Source organism: Homo sapiens, chromosome 2 (genome assembly GCF_000001405.40).
Source record: "Homo sapiens chromosome 2, GRCh38.p14 Primary Assembly".
Lineage (NCBI taxonomy): Eukaryota > Metazoa > Chordata > Mammalia > Primates > Hominidae > Homo > Homo sapiens.
The window spans coordinates 196,897,636-196,915,893 of record NC_000002.12 but is presented as its reverse complement, the minus strand read 5'-3'; the positions used below and the strand labels follow the sequence as shown (position 1 = coordinate 196,915,893).

General features: G+C 39.8%; 1 protein-coding gene across 8 annotated transcripts in view, besides 1 other annotated feature; it reads left to right on the top strand.

Annotated features, from left to right (window-relative positions):
- Positions 1 to 18,258, top strand: part of PGAP1 (post-GPI attachment to proteins inositol deacylase 1) — a 93,704-nt gene that overhangs the window by 10,814 nt on the left and 64,632 nt on the right. For all 8 annotated transcript variants that reach the window (XR_007082522.1, XR_001738960.2, NM_001321100.2 and 5 more), the window contains 3 exons: positions 2,841 to 3,012; positions 13,152 to 13,309; positions 17,525 to 17,577. Coding sequence is in view for 5 of the 8 variants with exons in the window: in NM_024989.4 (NP_079265.2) it covers positions 2,841 to 3,012; positions 13,152 to 13,309; positions 17,525 to 17,577 (383 nt within the window). In the remaining 3 variants the exon portion in view is untranslated. The remainder of the gene's footprint in view (positions 1 to 2,840; positions 3,013 to 13,151; positions 13,310 to 17,524; positions 17,578 to 18,258) is intronic.
- Positions 588 to 787: an enhancer, noted in NCBI's record as "active region_16915". NCBI's record gives its function as "activates an Ori minimal core promoter by ATAC-STARR-seq in GM12878 lymphoblastoid cells {active_cell/tissue: GM12878}" and the evidence as "EXISTENCE:reporter gene assay evidence [ECO:0000049][PMID:35858748]".

Sequence of the window (18,258 nt, the reverse complement as noted above, 5' to 3'; positions counted from 1 at the left end):
CAGAGAATTGGAATTGGGGGCTGCTGAAGCAGCTAAATGCGACATGGTATGAGAAAGAAGAGAGTGAGGCAAAGAAAGGGGCTCTAAAAATGTATGTTTTTCAATCTTTGAATGCCATGCTGCACAGGGAAAGTAGCTATAAAACAGTGGCATGCTAAGGAGGAAGTGGTAGAGTGTGTTCAAGACATAGTGGTGGTTTAAATCAAGGTGGTGGCAGTTGAAGTGATGAGAAATTGTCAGATCAGTGTAAATCTTAAAGGTTGAGGCAGTAAATTTGCTGGCAGATCAGATATGGAAGGGCAAAGTGAGAGGAAAAGAACAGTTAAGGATGACCCCAAGATTTTTGGCTAAACAACTGGAAAGATTGAACTGCCATTAACTGAGGTAGGGAAGAATACAGGAGGAACAGATATGGAGGAGATTAAGAGTTTAGTTTTAGATAGATCCAGTTTGAGATGCACATTAGGCATTCCATGTATGCTACTGTACAGGTGGAGTTCAAGGCTAGAGTTCAAGAGAAGGAGTACAGTCTCGAGATAATTACTGAGAGGTTGACAGTGTGTAGATATACTTAAAGCCACTAGACAGGAAGAGATCACTGATGGTTTCAGCAAAGATATGAAAGAGCAGTGATCTAAGGGCGGAGACCTGAGTCACCTAAGTTTTAAGAAATGAGGAGAGATGAGAAGGAACCAGAAACAGAAACTAAAAAAGAGGAGCCAGTGAGGCAAAGGGAGAACCAGGAGAGTTTGTTGTCAAAGAAACTAACTTAAATATTTCAAAGAAGGAAGAAGTAAGTTATCAACTGTGTCAAATGTTACTGATAGGTCAAATAAGATGAGGATTAATAATTGACCATTGTAGCCTAGGCAACATAGTGAGACCCTGTGTCTACAAAAAAATATATATATTAGCTGGATGTGGTGGTGCACACTTGTAGTCCCAGCTACTTGGGAGGCTGAGGTAGGAGGATCTACTCGGAGCCTAGGAGATTGGGGCTGCAGTGAGCCATGAATCGTGCCACTGCGCTCCAGCCTGGGTGACAGAGTGAGACCCTGTCTCAGAAAAAAAAAAAAAAAAGAATTAAGAATTGACTATTGGATTCCTTGGTGATTTAGCAAGAGCAGTTTTGGTGGCATGTTGGGGTGAAAGTCTGATTGAAATGGATTTAAGAGTGTATGGAAGTTGAGAAATTGGAGATAGCAATAGCAAGTACTGTGTATACAACTTGTTTTGTTTTGTTTTGTTTTGTTTTGTTTTGTTTTGTTTTGTTTGAGACAGGGTCTCACTCTGTCACCAGGCTGGAGTACAGTGGTGCAATCTCAGCTCACTGCAACCTCCTCCTCCTAGGTTCAAGTGATTCTCCTGCCTCAGCCTCCTGAGTAACTGGGACTACAGGCATGTGCCACCACGCCCAGCTAATTTTTGTATTTTTAGCAGATACCAGGTTTTGCCATGTTAGCCAGGCTGGTCTCGAACTCCTGACCTGAAGTGATCCACCTACCTTGGCCTCCTAAAGTGCTGGGATTACAGGTGTGAGCCACCGGACCTGGCCTGCAACTTGCTTTTAGAGTTTTGCTGTAAAGAAATGTAAAGTAGTCACTAAGGGGAAAGTGAGAATTAAAAGGGAGTTATTTTTATTTTTAAGAGAGAATGCCAGTATATTTATACACTAATGAAAGTGATCTAGTTGATAGGGAAAAGCAATAATGCAAGAAGAAAATGAGAAGGATTGCTAGAGTGAGGTACTTGCGAAGGTCAAAGGGGATAGGTTTCAGAGCACAGTTGTAGGGTTTGGCTTTTGCTAAGATCAGGTCTGTATTGGAGATCACCAAGGATCCACTTAATTCCTATACCAGCATATTGTGACATGGCTGAAATAGTGTCCACAAGGGAAGCTCATTAGAGACTCAGTGCCCATGGTTTTTACTGGGGACTTATCACATAGATACCCTCTGCCTAGCACATACCAAAATTCCAGCCTGGAGGACAGCAGGTGTTCAGCATAAAACATGTTGTTTGCACAAACAGTTTAGGCACTCTTATCATTTAGGGAATGGTGAGAATCTCCCCCAAGTATAAGGTTCCAGATTCCAGCCAAGAGCCAACCTTGTATCCAGCCCATGCCAAGGACAGCAGTCTCAGGCCTCCTATGTTAACTCTTCTGCACAAGATTCAGTCTATTCATTGAGAAGCGATGGTACATAGGAAGGATCTGTGTTGGGGATGATGAGCAAAAGTTTGGTAATGAGACTGAGGAGATTGTTGAAAACAAAAGATTTTTTGAAAAGCACTTATCTAAAAAATAAAATATGGAATTGTCAGTGAATAAATGTTTGGAATGCTGCTTCGTTTTTAAACCAAAATGCACAATAGAGAAATAATTTGATGAGATAAAAGATAACAACATGATAAGGTAATATATTGCTATCGCAACTGTAATTGTCTTGGCCTTTTTTGGGTGATATTTTCAGTTTCAAACAAATTATCCGATTTCTTATGTCTTGTAAAACCTAATAATCTGGTATATACCAAATATAATTACTCCTCACATTACATGTAGTGTAACCAACAGTATAAACATGATTTGCTAGACCAACTGTTCCTCTTGGCCCAGAAAACCAAGATATACCTGTTAAAAATGTTTGGCAGAACACAAAATAGTATGTATACACTAATTAAAACTATATGAAAATGTATTTCTGTACCTTATGATGGGAGGTTATATAAATAGTTTGATTTTCTTTTTCCTATAAAATTGGTCATATGCAGAGAGAAATATTTAGTATTTTAAAAATGATACAAAGCCGCAATTATGACCTGGTGATTTATTTTAATAGGGTCAAGAATTTGCTCCAAAAAGTGTGGCAATAATTGGTCATTCTATGGGTGGCCTTGTTGCAAGAGCATTGCTTACACTGAAAAATTTTAAGCATGATCTGATAAATCTTCTTATTACACAAGCCACACCTCATGTTGCTCCTGTGATGCCATTAGATCGTTTCATTACAGGTGAGTACTGTTACATGAACATTAACCTCCCCATTGTTATTTAAGATTAAATAAATCAATCTCTGTGGCTATTCCCCTAGGAGTATGCTACAGATTTATCCATGTATGAAGCAACTCAGTTGCAAATCAGCACCTCCAATTCTGAGTGTCTGTCTCTTTATATTATTGAACTTAGGCTTATAATTGAAACTACTGTTAAGTTTTGTCTGTCCATAGCATCTTAACATGGTTGACATGTGTTTTATAATTTCTAGGCACTAGGGCTTCCGTTTAGTTTTTTTTTTTTTTTTTTTTTTTTTTTAAAGACAGGGTCTTGCTCTTTCTCCCAGGCTGGAGTGCAGTGGTGCAATCTCAGCTCACTGCAACCTCCACCTCTCAGGTTCAAGCGATTCTCGTGCTTCAGCCTTCCAAGTATCTGGGATTTTTGCCGTATTGCCCAGGCTGGTCTTGAACTGCTGACCTCAAGTGATCTGCCTATCTCAGCCTCCCAAAGTGCTGGGATTACAGGCATAAGCCACCATGCCTGGCCAGTTTAGTTATTTTTGAGGATGGTACCCTGTCTCTTAAGATGTGTTTAAACTTCCTATGCTTTGTTAACTGTTTTAGGACTGTATCCAAAATAAGCTTATATTTAAGTAAGATAGTAGCAATGTCTAGTTTTTAAGTACAAAGGTATGCTAACACTTTATATAATGAGATATAATTCCTAATATTTATTGAGCTCTTAGTATGTTATGGATTTTAAAGACTTCATGTGATGTGTTACCACACTTAATCCTTACTGCAGTCCCATGAGGTAGGCACCATTATTATCCTCATGTTTATGGATAGAAAAAGGCCAAGATAACGTTCTTGCCCAGAGTCATGTGGCAAGAAAGTAGTGAAACCAGTATTTGACCCTGGCAAAATTGCTTCTGGGCTTGTGCTCTTAACCTTTGCATGCTGTACTGCCTCTTAATTGAAGTACATTAACATAGGAAATAAAACCGTAGATAATACTATAATCTTGCAGGAATTTTGAATGAAAAGTAGGAGTTTGTGATTGACATCGTCTAATCAAATAGTGATAACGTCACAGAATAAGAATTAAATGTCTGTTATCTCAACTTATTGTTAAAAAAAGCCAGAGATTATCCTCACTGCTTATAGGAATATTATATGAGTAGATGAAAATCTTTAGAAAGAATTCTTTCTGGTTAGTAAATGTATATAGCTTCTTACCTATAAAAATTTGCATTATCTTAATTTTTTTTTTTTTTTTTTTTTTTTTTTTTTATTATACTCTAAGTTTTAGGGTACATGTGCACATTGTGCAGGTTAGTTACATATGTATACATGTGCCATGCTGGTGCGCTGCACCCACTAATGTGTCATCTAGCATTAGGTATATCTCCCAATGCTATCCCTCCCCCCTCCCCCGACCCCACCACAGTCCCCAGAGTGTGATATTCCCCTTCCTGTGTCCATGTGATCTCATTGTTCAATTCCCACCTATGAGTGAGAATATGCGGTGTTTGGTTTTTTGTTCTTGCGATAGTTTACTGAGAATGATGGTTTCCAATTTCATCCATGTCCCTACAAAGGATATGAACTCATCATTTTTTATGGCTGCATAGTATTCCATGGTGTATATGTGCCACATTTTCTTAATCCAGTCTATCATTGTTGGACATTTGGGTTGGTTCCAAGTCTTTGCTATTGTGAATAGTGCCTCAATAAACATACGTGTGCATGTGTCTTTATAGCAGCATGATTTATACTCATTTGGGTATATACCCAGTAATGGGATGGCTGGGTCAAATGGTATTTCTAGTTCTAGATCCCTGAGGAATCGCCACACTGACTTCCACAATGGTTGAACTAGTTTACAGTCCCACCAACAGTGTAAAAGTGTTCCTATTTCTCCGCATCCTCTCCAGCACCTGTTGTTTCCTGACTTTTTAATGATTGCCATTCTAACTGGTGTGAGATGATATCTCATAGTGGTTTTGATTTGCATTTCTCTGATGGCCAGTGATGATGAGCATTTCTTCATGTGTTTTTTGGCTGCATAAATGTCTTCTTTTGAGAAGTGTCTGTTCATGTCCTTCGCCCACTTTTTGATGGGGTTGTTTGTTTTTTTCTTGTAAATTTGTTTGAGTTCATTGTAGATTCTGGATATTAGCCCTTTGTCAGATGAGTAGGTTGCGAAAATTTTCTCCCATGTTGTAGGTTGCCTGTTCACTCTGATGGTAGTTTCTTTTGCTGTGCAGAAGCTCTTTAGTTTAATTAGATCCCATTTGTCAATTTTGTCTTTTGTTGCCATTGCTTTTGGTGTTTTGGACATGAAGTCCTTGCCCACGCCTATGTCCTGAATGGTAATGCCTAGGTTTTCTTCTAGGGTTTTTATGGTTTTAGGTTTAACGTTTAAATCTTTAATCCATCTTGAATTGATTTTTGTATAAGGTGTAAGGAAGGGATCCAGTTTCAGCTTTCTACATATGGCTAGCCAGTTTTCCCAGCACCATTTATTAAATAGGGAATCCTTTCCCCATTGCTTGTTTTTGTCAGGTTTGTCAAAGATCAGATAGTTGTAGATATGCGGCATTATTTCTGAGGGCTCTGTTCTGTTCCATTGATCTATATCTCTGTTTTGGTACCAGTACCATGCTGTTTTGGTTACTGTAGCCTTGTAGTATAGTTTGAAGTCAGGTAGTGTGATGCCTCCAGCTTTGTTCTTTTGGCTTAGGATTGACTTGGCAATGCGGGCTCTTTTTTGGTTCCATATGAACTTTAAAGTAGTTTTTTCCAATTCTGTGAAGAAAGTCATTGGTAGCTTGATGGGGATGGCATTGAATCTGTAAATTACCTTGGGCAGTATGGCCATTTTCACGATATTGATTCTTCCTACCCATGAGCATGGAATGTTCTTCCATTTGTTTGTGTCCTCTTTTATTTCCTTGAGCAGTGGTTTGTAGTTCTCCTTGAAGAGGTCCTTCACATCCCTTGTAATTTGGATTCCTAGGTATTTTATTCTCTTTGAAGCAATTGTGAATGGGAGTTCACCCATGATTTGGCTCTCTGTTTGTCTGTTGTTGGTGTATAAGAATGCTTGTGATTTTTGTACATTGATTTTGTATCCTGAGACTTTGCTGAAGTTGCTTATCAGCTTAAGGAGATTTTGGGCTGAGACGATGGGGTTTTCTAGATAAACAATCATGTCGTCTGCAAACAGGGACAATTTGACTTCCTCTTTTCCTAATTGAATACCCTTTATTTCCTTCTCCTGCCTGATTGCCCTGGCCAGAACTTCCAACACTATGTTGAATAGGAGCGGTGAGAGAGGGCATCCCTGTCTTGTGCCAGTTTTCAAAGGGAATGCTTCCAGTTTTTGCCCATTCAGTATGATATTGGCTGTGGGTTTGTCATAGATAGCTCTTATTATTTTGAAATACGTCCCATCAATACCTAATTTATTGAGAGTTTTTAGCATGAAGGGTTGTTGAATTTTGTCAAAGGCCATTTCTGCATCTATTGAGATAATCATGTGGTTTTTGTCTTTGGCTCTGTTTATATGCTGGATTACATTTATTGATTTGCGTATATTGAACCAGCCTTGCATCCCAGGGATGAAGCCCACTTGATCATGGTGGATAAGCTTTTTGATGTGCTGCTGGATTCGGTTTGCCAGTATTTTATTGAGGATTTTTGCATCAATGTTCATCAAGGATATTGGTCTAAAATTCTCTTTTTTGGTTGTGTCTCTGCCCGGCTTTGGTATCAGAATGATGCTGGCCTCATAAAATGAGTTAGGGAGGATTCCCTCTTTTTCTATTGATTGGAATAGTTTCAGAAGGAATGGTACCAGTTCCTCCTTGTACCTCTGGTAGAATTCGGCTGTGAATCCATCTGGTCCTGGACTCTTTTTGGTTGGTAAACTATTGATTATTGCCACAATTTCAGAGCCTGTTATTGGTCTATTCAGAGATTCAACTTCTTCCTGGTTTAGTCTTGGGAGAGTGTATGTGTCGAGGAATGTATCCATTTCTTCTAGATTTTCTAGTTTATTTGCGTAGAGGTGTTTGTAGTATTCTCTGATGGTAGTTTGTATTTCTGTGGGATCGGTGGTGATATCCCCTTTATCATTTTTTATTGTGTCTATTTGATTCTTCTCTCTTTTTTTCTTTATTAGTCTTGCTAGCGGTCTATCAATTTTGTTGATCCTTTCGAAAAACCAGCTCCTGGATTCATTGATTTTTTGAAGGGTTTTTTGTGTCTCTATTTCCTTCAGTTCTGCTCTGATTTTAGTTATTTCTTGCCTTCTGCTAGCTTTTGAATGTGTTTGCTCTTGCTTTTCTAGTTCTTTTAATTGTGATGTTAGGGTGTCAATTTTGGATCTTTCCTGCTTTCTCTTGTAGGCATTTAGTGCTATAAATTTCCCTCTACACACTGCTTTGAATGCGTCCCAGAGATTCTGGTATGTGGTGTCTTTGTTCTCGTTGGTTTCAAAGAACATCTTTATTTCTGCCTTCATTTCGTTATGTACCCAGTAGTCATTCAGGAGCAGGTTGTTCAGTTTCCATGTAGTTGAGCGGCTTTGAGTGAGATTCTTAATCCTGAGTTCTAGTTTGATTGCACTGTGGTCTGAGAGATAGTTTGTTATAATTTCTGTTCTTTTACATTTGCTGAGGAGAGCTTTTCTTCCAACTATGTGGTCAATTTTGGAATAGGTGTGGTGTGGTGCTGAAAAAAATGTATATTCTGTTGATTTGGGGTGGAGAGTTCTGTAGATGTCTATTAGGTCTGCTTGGTGCAGAGCTGAGTTCAATTCCTGGGTATCCTTGTTGACTTTCTGTCTCGTTGATCTGTCTAATGTTGACAGTGGGGTGTTAAAGTCTCCCATTATTAATGTGTGGGAGTCTAAGTCTCTTTGTAGGTCACTGAGGACTTGCTTTATGAATCTGGGTGCTCCTGTATTGGGTGCATAAATATTTAGGATAGTTAGCTCCTCTTGTTGAATTGATCCCTTTACCATTATGTAATGGCCTTCTTTGTCTCTTTTGATCTTTGTTGGTTTAAAGTCTGTTTTATCAGAGACTAGGATTGCAACCCCTGCCTTTTTTTGTTTTCCATTGGCTTGGTAGATCTTCCTCCATCCTTTTATTTTGAGCCTATGTGTGTCTCTGCACGTGAGATGGGTTTCCTGAATACAGCACACTGATGGGTCTTGACTCTTTATCCAACTTGCCAGTCTGTGTCTTTTAATTGCAGAATTTAGTCCATTTATATTTAAAGTTAATATTGTTATGTGTGAATTTGATCCTGTCATTATGATGTTAGCTGGTGATTTTGCTCATTAGTTGATGCAGTTTCTTCCTAGTCTCGATGGTCTTTACATTTTGGCATGATTTTGCAGTGGCTGGTACCGGTTGTTCCTTTCCATGTTTAGCGCTTCCTTCAGGAGCTCTTTTAGGGCAGGCCTGGTGGTGACAAAATCTCTCAGCATTTGCTTGTCTATAAAGTATTTTATTTCTCCTTCACTTATGAAGCTTAGTTTGGCTGGATATGAAATTCTGGGTTGAAAATTCTTTTCTTTAAGAATGTTGAATATTGGCCCCCACTCTCTTCTGGCTTGTAGGGTTTCTGCCGAGAGATCCGCTGTTAGTCTGATGGGCTTTCCTTTGAGGGTAACCCGACCTTTCTCTCTGGCTGCCCTTAACATTTTTTCCTTCATTTCAACTTTGGTGAATCTGACAATTATGTGTCTTGGAGTTGCTCTTCTCGAGGAGTATCTTTGTGGCGTTCTCTGTATTTCCTGAATCTGAACGTTGGCCTGCCTTGCTAGATTGGGGAAGTTCTCCTGGATAATATCCTGCAGAGTGTTTTCCAACTTGGTTCCATTCTCCACATCTCTTTCAGGTACACCAATCAGACGTAGATTTGGTCTTTTCACATAGACCCATATTTCTTGGAGGTTTTGCTCATTTCTTTTTATTCTTTTTTCTCTAAACTTCCCTTCTCGCTTCATTTCATTCATTTCATCTTCCATTGCTGATACCCTTTCTTCCAGTTGATCGCATCGGCTCCTGAGGCTTCTGCATTCTTCACGTAGTTCTCGAGCCTTGGTTTTCAGCTCCATCAGCTCCTTTAAGCACTTCTCTGTATTGGTTATTCTAGTTATACATTCTTCTAAATTTTTTTCAAAGTTTTCAACTTCTTTGCCTTTGGTTTGAATGTCCTCCCGTAGCTCAGAGTAATTTGATCGTCTGAAGCCTTCTTCTCTCAGCTTGTCAAAATCATTCTCCATCCAGCTTTGTTCTGTTGCTGGTGAGGAACTGCGTTCCTTTGGAGGAGGAGAGGCACTCTGCGTTTTAGAGTTTCCAGTTTTTCTGTTCTGTTTTTTCCCCATCTTTGTGGCTTTATCTACTTTTGGTCTTTGATGATGGTGATGTACAGATGGGTTTTCGGTGTAGATGTCCTTTCTGGTTGTTAGTTTTCCTTCTAACAGACAGGACCCTCAGCTGCAGGTCTGTTGGAATACCCTGCCGTGTGAGGTGTCAGTGTGCCCCTGCTGGGGGGTGCCTCCCAGTTAGGCTGCTCGGGGGTCAGGGGTCAGGGACCCACTTGAGGAGGCAGTCTGCCCGTTCTCAGATCTCCAGCTGCGTGCTGGGAGAACCACTGCTCTCTTCAAAGCTGTCAGACAGGGACACTTAAGTCTGCAGAGGTTACTGCTGTCTTTTTGTTTGTCTGTGCCCTGCCCCCAGAGGTGGAGCCTACAGAGGCAGGCAGGCCTCCTTGAGCTGTGGTGGGCTCCACCCAGTTCGAGCTTCCTGGCTGCTTTGTTTACCTAAGCAAGCCTGGGCTATGGCGGGCGCCCCTCCCCCAGCCTCGTTGCCGCCTTGCAGTTTGATCTCAGACTGCTGTGCTAGCAATCAGCGAGATTCCGTGGGCGTAGGACCCTCTGAGCCAGGTGTGGGATATAGTCTCGTGGTGCGCCGTTTCTTAAGCCGGTCTGAAAAGCGCAATATTCGGGTGGGAGTGACCCGATTTTCCAGGTGCGTCCGTCACCCCTTTCTTTGACTCGGAAAGGGAACTCCCTGACCCCTTGCGCTTCCCAGGTGAGGCAATGCCTCGCCCTGCTTCGGCTCGCGCACGGTGCGCGCACACACTGGCCTGCGCCCACTGTCTGGCACTCCCTAGTGAGATGAACCTGGTACCTCAGATGGAAATGCAGAAATCACCCGTCTTCTGCGTCGCTCACGCTGGGAGCTGTAGACCGGAGCTGTTCCTATTCGGCCATCTTGGCTCCTCCCTCCCGCATTATCTTAATTTTGATGAAAATTTTGTTTGTAGTTAAGTGAGAAATATTCCCCAGTGACTCCAAACCATCTTAACATAACAGCATTGCCAAAAAATAATTTATTTGCTCTTAAGTATCTGGTGCAACAGTAATTATTATGAGGCCCGGTTTTTCTGTTGGTACATTTAAAACTTTGCTTGTAGAAGTCTTTTAATAAGGAAACATTTTAATTTTAATAATGAAGTTGTTTAAATTTGTTGTAGTCTAATAATCTTAAATGACCTTAGGTTTAGGAAAAAAATTAAAGGCTAAAAGTCATAGTACTTGTCACCGTAATTGAGAACTCTTTATATTGTTGCATTCTGTGTGGTGTATGTAGATGACCCGTATAGATTAAATTAGAATGACTCAAAGATATTTTAAAAATTACTTGAGGAATGCACCCTCAATAGGTTTTATTGCTTTGGAGGGTGGCACTGTTCTGTCTCTATAAGGCTCAGGCTGAAAGTGATTCTTAGGGTCAAGAATCCTGTACCTTTCCTGTAATTAGTCTTTCCTTTTTATTCTATATTTATTCTTTTTATTTTACTAAGTCAAAATTAGAATGAAAATTTTAAGGTTTTGAGAGACAGAGATCCATATGACCTCAGAAGTAGATTCCCTGTTTATACTTGTTGAAAATACTGCCTTTCAATAGGAGGAAGGAGGCCCTGCACTGGGCTCTGCACTTTAGAGGTTCCTGCTGCTCTGCCCCTAGCCTTTCCCACAGGGTGAGAAGTATGAAGGCTAAGTAGCCTCCCCACGTGGAGCCTGTATCTTTACTTCTGCACTGTGATCCAGCTAACCAAGCCTCCAGACTTTTATTTATTTTTTTTTTTGAGACAGTCACGCTCTGTTGCCAGGCTGGAGTGCAGTGGCGCAATCTCGGCTCACTGCAACCTCCGCCTCCTGGGTTCAAGCGATTCTCCTGCCTCAGCCTCCCAAGTAGCTGGGACTACAGGTGCATGCCACCACGCCCAGCTAATTTTTAGTAGAGACAGTGTTTCACCATGTTGGCCAGGATGGTCTCGATCTCTTGACCTCATGATCCGCCCGCCTCGGCCTCCCAAAGTGCTGGGATTACAGGAGGGAGCCACTGCGCCCAGCTGCCTCTAGACTTTTCTTGTCTATGTGCCCTAAGCCTGCTTCTAAGACCTGTGTGGGTCTCTTCATTTTCTTTGTTTTCCTGAGGGCAGGTATGTAGAATCCTAAGCTTGAGTTGTGGCCAAGCATAGCGCTGCTGAAAGTACAGACAGAGCTTGCATGTGCACATGAGGCCCTTGCAATGCGGGATCGAATTAGGATGGGAAGAGAAGCACAGTAAGAGACTGAAGATCTGCTCTTCCCATGCTGCCACCATCCAGTGGCTAACTCTGAGGTGTCTGAGAATTCTTAATTTGAACCTGGCCTTCCAGGTTATTTCAATGATATATTTTTAAAGATAGGCAGAAAAAAATATATTTGATTTAACAGGTTATTAGCTGGATTTTTGACTTTTTAAACTATCTAGACATATGGCATGTGTGCCCCACTGGTACTTAACATCCCAGGCTCTCCAGATGTTAAGAGTCAGTCTGCTAGGTGGTAATCTAAGTAAGTACTGCTGAGATCTTTAATGGGGGCAGCTTGCTGTACCCAGTGTTTGAAGCCCTGAGTGGGATCAAATGTCAGGATAAAAATGCATTAAATTTTGATAATCACAAAAAGAATTGAGAAATCCCCTGCCCTAGCCTCAATTTAATCTTTGACACTAGGCTTTTTTCACCTTCAATAGACAAAGTGAAAAATTGTCTGCAGGTTCTTCCCTTTGAAGTACTTGTTACAATAAATGGGTTGAACCCTAACCCTGAGGTTTTCCACAGCAGCAGCATAGTCCTAAGACTAATGTCAATGGTATTGTCCAGATAGATTGTAAGAATTTAAATAGTACTTGTGTGGTGGTGGTTGGCCACAGAAGAGATTTGCTAAGCCTTTTTCTTTTCTTTTTTTTTTTTTTTTTTTTTGAGACAGAGTCTCGCTCTGTTGCCCAGGCTGGAGTGCAGTAGCACAATCTCGGCTCACTGCAACCTCTGCCTCCCGGGTTCAAGCGATTCTCCTGCCTCAGCCTCCCGAGTAGCTGGGACTACAGGTGCGCACCACCATGCCCAGCTAATTTTTGTATTTTTAGTAGAGATGGGCTTTCACCATATTGGCCAGGCTAGTCTCAAACTCCTGACCTCGTGATCTGCCTTCCTCAGCCTCCCAAGCTAAGCCTTTTTAAGCTGGGATACTGCCATCATAGGGAGGGATCTACAGCTCTTTTTTTTTTTTTAAACCACTTTATTGAGGGTAATTGATATATAAAATACCGCACATATATAACAGTTTGTAATGTATACATTTAATGTATACAGTTTGAACATGTGCATATACCATGAAACTAACACCACAAATGTCTACAACTCTAGCATGGTAAATTCTTATCTTTCGAAGAATATTAGAATTTTCTCTTTTAGCTATACTGTGTGACTCATAAATAAGCATCATCCTTGTGGAATGTAGAAATGTGTTTGCTTATGGATCCAAAGCTAGTAAAATTTGTTTTTTTTTAATTGATACCTTTAGTAACTCTTAGTATTTATACTTTTATTTAATCGGGAAGTAGGAATATGTGTAAAGATACTGATTTTACTGAAAATAGGGAAATGTGAATAACTCAACTGTTTATAGATGAAATGACTTAAGCAAAAATTCAGTTACATATTAATATTACTGTATAGATATCTTATTGTTTCAGGGAATGGCTACTGTTTTTTAATGTCTCTTTTTTATTCCCCACCAGATTTTTATACGACTGTAAACAACTATTGGATTCTAAATGCTCGACACATAAATTTAACCACACTTTCTGTAGCTGGAGGATTCCGGGATTACCAAGTTCGTTCAGGATTGACTTTTCTACCAAAATTAAGCCATCATACCAGTGCCTTATCTGTTGTGGTAATCTTTTTTTAAGATTCTATTGAAATAGTAATGTAATAGACCCAGTGGAGCATGAAAGAAGAAATAATATATAGCTGCATGGTAATGACTGCTGAGTTAGTGGTGTTGGACTGCTGTGTGGGCATGCATGTGTGTAAGAGAGAGAGGGAAAGAGAGAAAGAGAGAAAATGAATGAATGAATGAATATGAATGTGTTGGGAGGGCAGAATTGTGGATGCTTATGTCCATAGGGAGTAAAAAGGATGGCCAGGAACCATGGCTTATGCCTATAATTCTAGTGCTTTGTGAGGCCAAGGCAGGAGGACTGCTTGAGGCCAGGAGTTCAAGATCAGCCTAGGCAACATAGGGAGACCCCCAACTCTACAAAATACAAAAAATCTTTAAAATTAGCCAGGCTAATTTGGCATGGTGGTAAGTGCCTATAGTCCGAGCTACTCAGGAGGTTGAGGCAAGAGAATCACTTGAGTCCAGGAGTTCGAGGTTATAGTGAGCTGTGATTTTATCACTGCACCTCAGCCTGGATGACAGAACAAGACTCTGACTCAAAAACAAACAAAAAAAAGTAAGTACAAAGGATCTTAGAAACTTGATGAAAATGACCCTTATTTATGAGGAGTAATGGTTTCTTGTCTAAAATAAGAGCCTGTTCATTGATTAGAGTTGTGAATATAAGAATGTGTGGACTGGAATCCAGGGGAATCCAGTTATATCTGAGTGTTGTACTAGATATAATCATAGTGGAATATCAAATATATCACATACTTCTGAATGTTAAACTTGAATGAAACTTTACCAATTTTATAACAACATGATTAGCTTTGATAGTATAAGTAGTATAAGTAGAACCTGATTAATTAATTTGCTACTTATTCTTCCCTGCTAGGACATCAAGTATTTGGTCTTTAACTGGGATACATAATCTGTGTAAAGTGAGTCAAGTTTCCTTTTAGGACTTCTTTCATGTGTATTTAACCTTGAAGTCTTCAGTTAAGATCTTAGCTTCTTAACTCAGTATACACATCATCTCCAAATATAACTTACTTCCTAAAGAGAAGATGCATAGAATGTAGTCTGCCTGTTCCTTTTGCTTTTTAGGAGATAACACTAGAAAATCACTGTTTCATAGTTATACCTCTTCATAGATACTCCTTTTTTCATCTCACCTATTGTTGTCCTACTTTAGATTACTGTTCATTCATTAAATAGGTTATTTACTGAATGCTTGCCATACATAGAACAAAAATTATTAAGCTATTCTGCTATTACCCACCATTTTCATGTAACTAGAGGAATTGGGATGTAGCCAGAATAGCTTTGGAACTAAATTAGTAAAACTATCAAACCTCATTATTAGAGGTATGAATGTTGCTATTTGGTGTTGAATATTTTGGTCAGATATTTGTTGGAAGTCCTCAAAAGACTAAGTGTCAACTCCTTGTAAACACAGACGATTTAGTCATATGAAATTTGATGTAACTTATTTCCTGGACCTTGTCTGGAGAATGATGCTGTATTGATACCACATCCTAAAGCTTATCTTTTAAAGAACTTTGATCTCTTTAATTGTGTGTGTGTAGGCATGGGTGTGTGTGTACTTCCCTATTTTTTCTAATCTATTTGATAATGTGTTGCTTTCTTTTTTTTTCTTTTTTTTTGAGACGGAGTCTCGCTCTGTAGCCCAGGCTGGAGTGCAGTGGCGCGATCTCCGCTCACTGCAAGCTCTGCCTCTCTGGTTCACACCATTCTCCTGCCTCAGCCTCCCGAGTAGCTGGGACTACAGGCGTCCGCCACCATGCCCAGCTAATTTTTTTTGTATTTTTAGTAGAGATGGGGTTTCACCATGTTAGCCAGGATGGTCTCGATCTCCTGACCTCGTGGTTCACCTGCCTTGGCCTCCCAAAGTGCTGGGATTACAGGTGTGAGCCACCACACCCAGCTGATAATGTGTTGCTTTCAAGGGAGCTTGTTATCTCTGATTTCTGTATCTCTGATGAAGATATTTTACTTATGGAACTTTATCAAAGCTTGCCATTGTATAACCTAAGATTTATTTTTTAGCCTCCAGATATTCCAGTCTTTCATATAGCTACATGTATATTCCCTTTAAAAAGTTATTAACAGTAACAATTTTTGAATGATTGTCTCAAGAATAGTTAAATGATGTTTACATCCATTAGGACTGGAAAATCTTTTAAGTTAGAGACCATAATTGTATCAAGAGGGTTGACTAAACTGCTGTAATATAGTCCCACACAGATAATGACACTTAAGCACAATAGAACTTGACGTTTTATTCATGTAACTGCCCTGGGTGGATATTTAGGTTGGTGGGTGGTTTTCCAAGAGGTTCCATTCAGGAACTCAGGCTGAGAGTGGGCATTCCATCTTGAATGCTTTTCTTTCAGGGTTGCTCCAGTCATCTTCAACCACAAGAAGGAAGAAAGAACACAAGGCAAATGTCAGGCCTACAAATGGCACACATCACTCCTGCTCACATACCATTAGAAAAAACTCACTTTGTGTGTTTTGTTTTGTTTTGTTTTGAGACGGAGTTTCGCTCTTGTTGCCCAGGCTGGAGTGCAATGGCACAATCTCAGCTCACTGCAACCTCTGCCTCCAGGGTTCAAGCGATTCTTCTGCCTCAGCCTCCTGAGTAGCTGGGATTAGAGGCACACGCCCCCATGCCCAGCTAATTTTTTGAAATTTTTTTAGTAGAGATGCGGTTTCACCATGTTAGCCAGGCTGGTCTCCAACTCCTGACCTCAGGTGATCCACCCGCCTCGGCCTCCCACAGTGTTGGGATTACAGGCGTGAGCCACTACGCCCGATCTCAGTCACATATTAAAGCAAGAGAGGCTAAGAGCTGTAGTCTAGCCAAGTGTGCAAGAAAAGAATAGATTTTGGTAGACATTTAGCAGTTTTCAACACAACAATCATGAGCAACTGACTTTTTGATTTGTGTTGCCTTTCCTTTTTCAACTCTAGCACACATGCATTAATTAAACTGAATGAAAGTAAACCAGCATTATATTCTTGGTAATGGTAAATGCTGTCTACTAAGAGTTCTTACTCTACTGACCATTAATGTAATTTAAGAACGACAGTGAACTCTGGTTGTCTAATTTTTTTTAGTAAACTATCAGCAGTAATTTCTAAATATATCAAGTACTTACAAGTTCATCAAGTAAGCTGTAGATTCCTCCCACTTCAGAACATGGAACCCAAAGATACATTATTATTTATAGAGTTCAGGGTGTTAGTGATTCCTTAGAAGTTATACATATTTATTTTTTCAGTTCATTTATTAAAGAGACATTTTAGGCCTCTGTAAATTTTCTTGCATCTATGCTGTTAGTCTTCTATTTTCATTTGGTTTTGACAGTTCTGGTGATAGCAGCTCCTTGTCTCTTTGATGGTACATAAAGAGATGCTATGAAAAATAAAATCAGATTTACTTAATGAGCCCCTATTCTGTGTGAGATGCTATTCACAGAGAGATCATTATCTGGTGTGAAAAGGAGTCTCTAGTTCTTGAAGGGTGCTGTGCCATTGTTAGGAAGCCCTCTGCAAATACTTATATTTTTTAGAAGCCTTTTGTCCTTGTATATTTTACTAGTTGTATACATCCTAGTCAGCTAGGGATTTTTTTTTTTTTCAAAATATATAACCCTGGACCCCGCTTGGGAAAGTCAGATTTGGTAGTTTTGCAGTTGTGATTAGGCATATTTGGTTTGAAAACTCTCCTTAGGCCTAGGTATTTCTTAGGTACACCACTGATGAAGAAGTTAACATCTTAGAATCTATCAAGTGGTAGTTTCGTCAAAATTTAAATTACTAAAATGTCTTTTGTAACTTATACATTAACTGTGATTTATTAAAGAATCTTAAACTTGTCTCTCATTAGAGTAATAAAAAGTTAGACATTAAACTTTAGGAGTCTGTGGTTGCTTTAGTAATTTTTAAATGGTAATTTAAACTTGACTAACCAGGAGTGATATTTAGAAAGAGTTATGTTTTATACAGAGAAATTTATACAGAAAATTCTAATATATTTGGATCACCTTTTATAAGAATATCATTTAAAAATGTCTAGGCCTCACAATATAGTGAAACTATATTATGTGTTTCTAAATATTAGCTTGTAAGAATTTCATACCTTTTAGAGAATAACAAATGTGCTTTTCGTAAGTTTATTTTTTTCTTTTCTTTTAGAGTTCAGCAGTGCCTAAGACCTGGGTCTCAACAGACCACCTCTCCATTGTGTGGTAAGTTAATACTTGTATAACTTGTTTTGATGAGTTGTCATGGTCCTCTTTCTCCTCAATGCAGTAATTTAATTGGCTTGTTAACTTTTTTTTTTTTTTGAGACAGAGTCTCGCTCTGTTGCCCAGGCTGGAGGACAGTGGTGCAATTTCAGCTCACTGCAACCTCTCGCCTCCTGGCTTCAAGTGATCCTCATGCCTCAGCCTCCCAAGCAGCTGGCATTACAGGCATGTGCCATCATGCCGGCTAATTTTTGTAGTTTTAGTAGGGATGAGGTTTCACCATGCTGGCCAGGCCGGTCTCAAACTCCTGACCTCAGGTGATCCACCCACATTGGCCTCCCAAAGTGCTGGGATTGCAGGGGTGAACCACCACACCTGGCCTGGTTTGTTAACTTTCTTAGAACTTCATCTATAAATAAGACTATGGGAGAAATATTAATTTAGAAGCTTGGAACTCTCATCTTGGTTCTTGTTTCAGTTTGACCAAGGTTCTCTTGACAACATGTAAAATAATCTCCCAAAAACCCAATAGCATCAGTCTCAAATGAAGCTAATATCAAATACCAAAGTTTTTGAGTTTTTACTAGTTGGGTGGAATCAACTGCACTTTTGGTAGGACTGTCTGAGCTTCTGGCCAATCACCGGCAGTGACTATTCTAGGGAGCAGCACATGGAAAACCA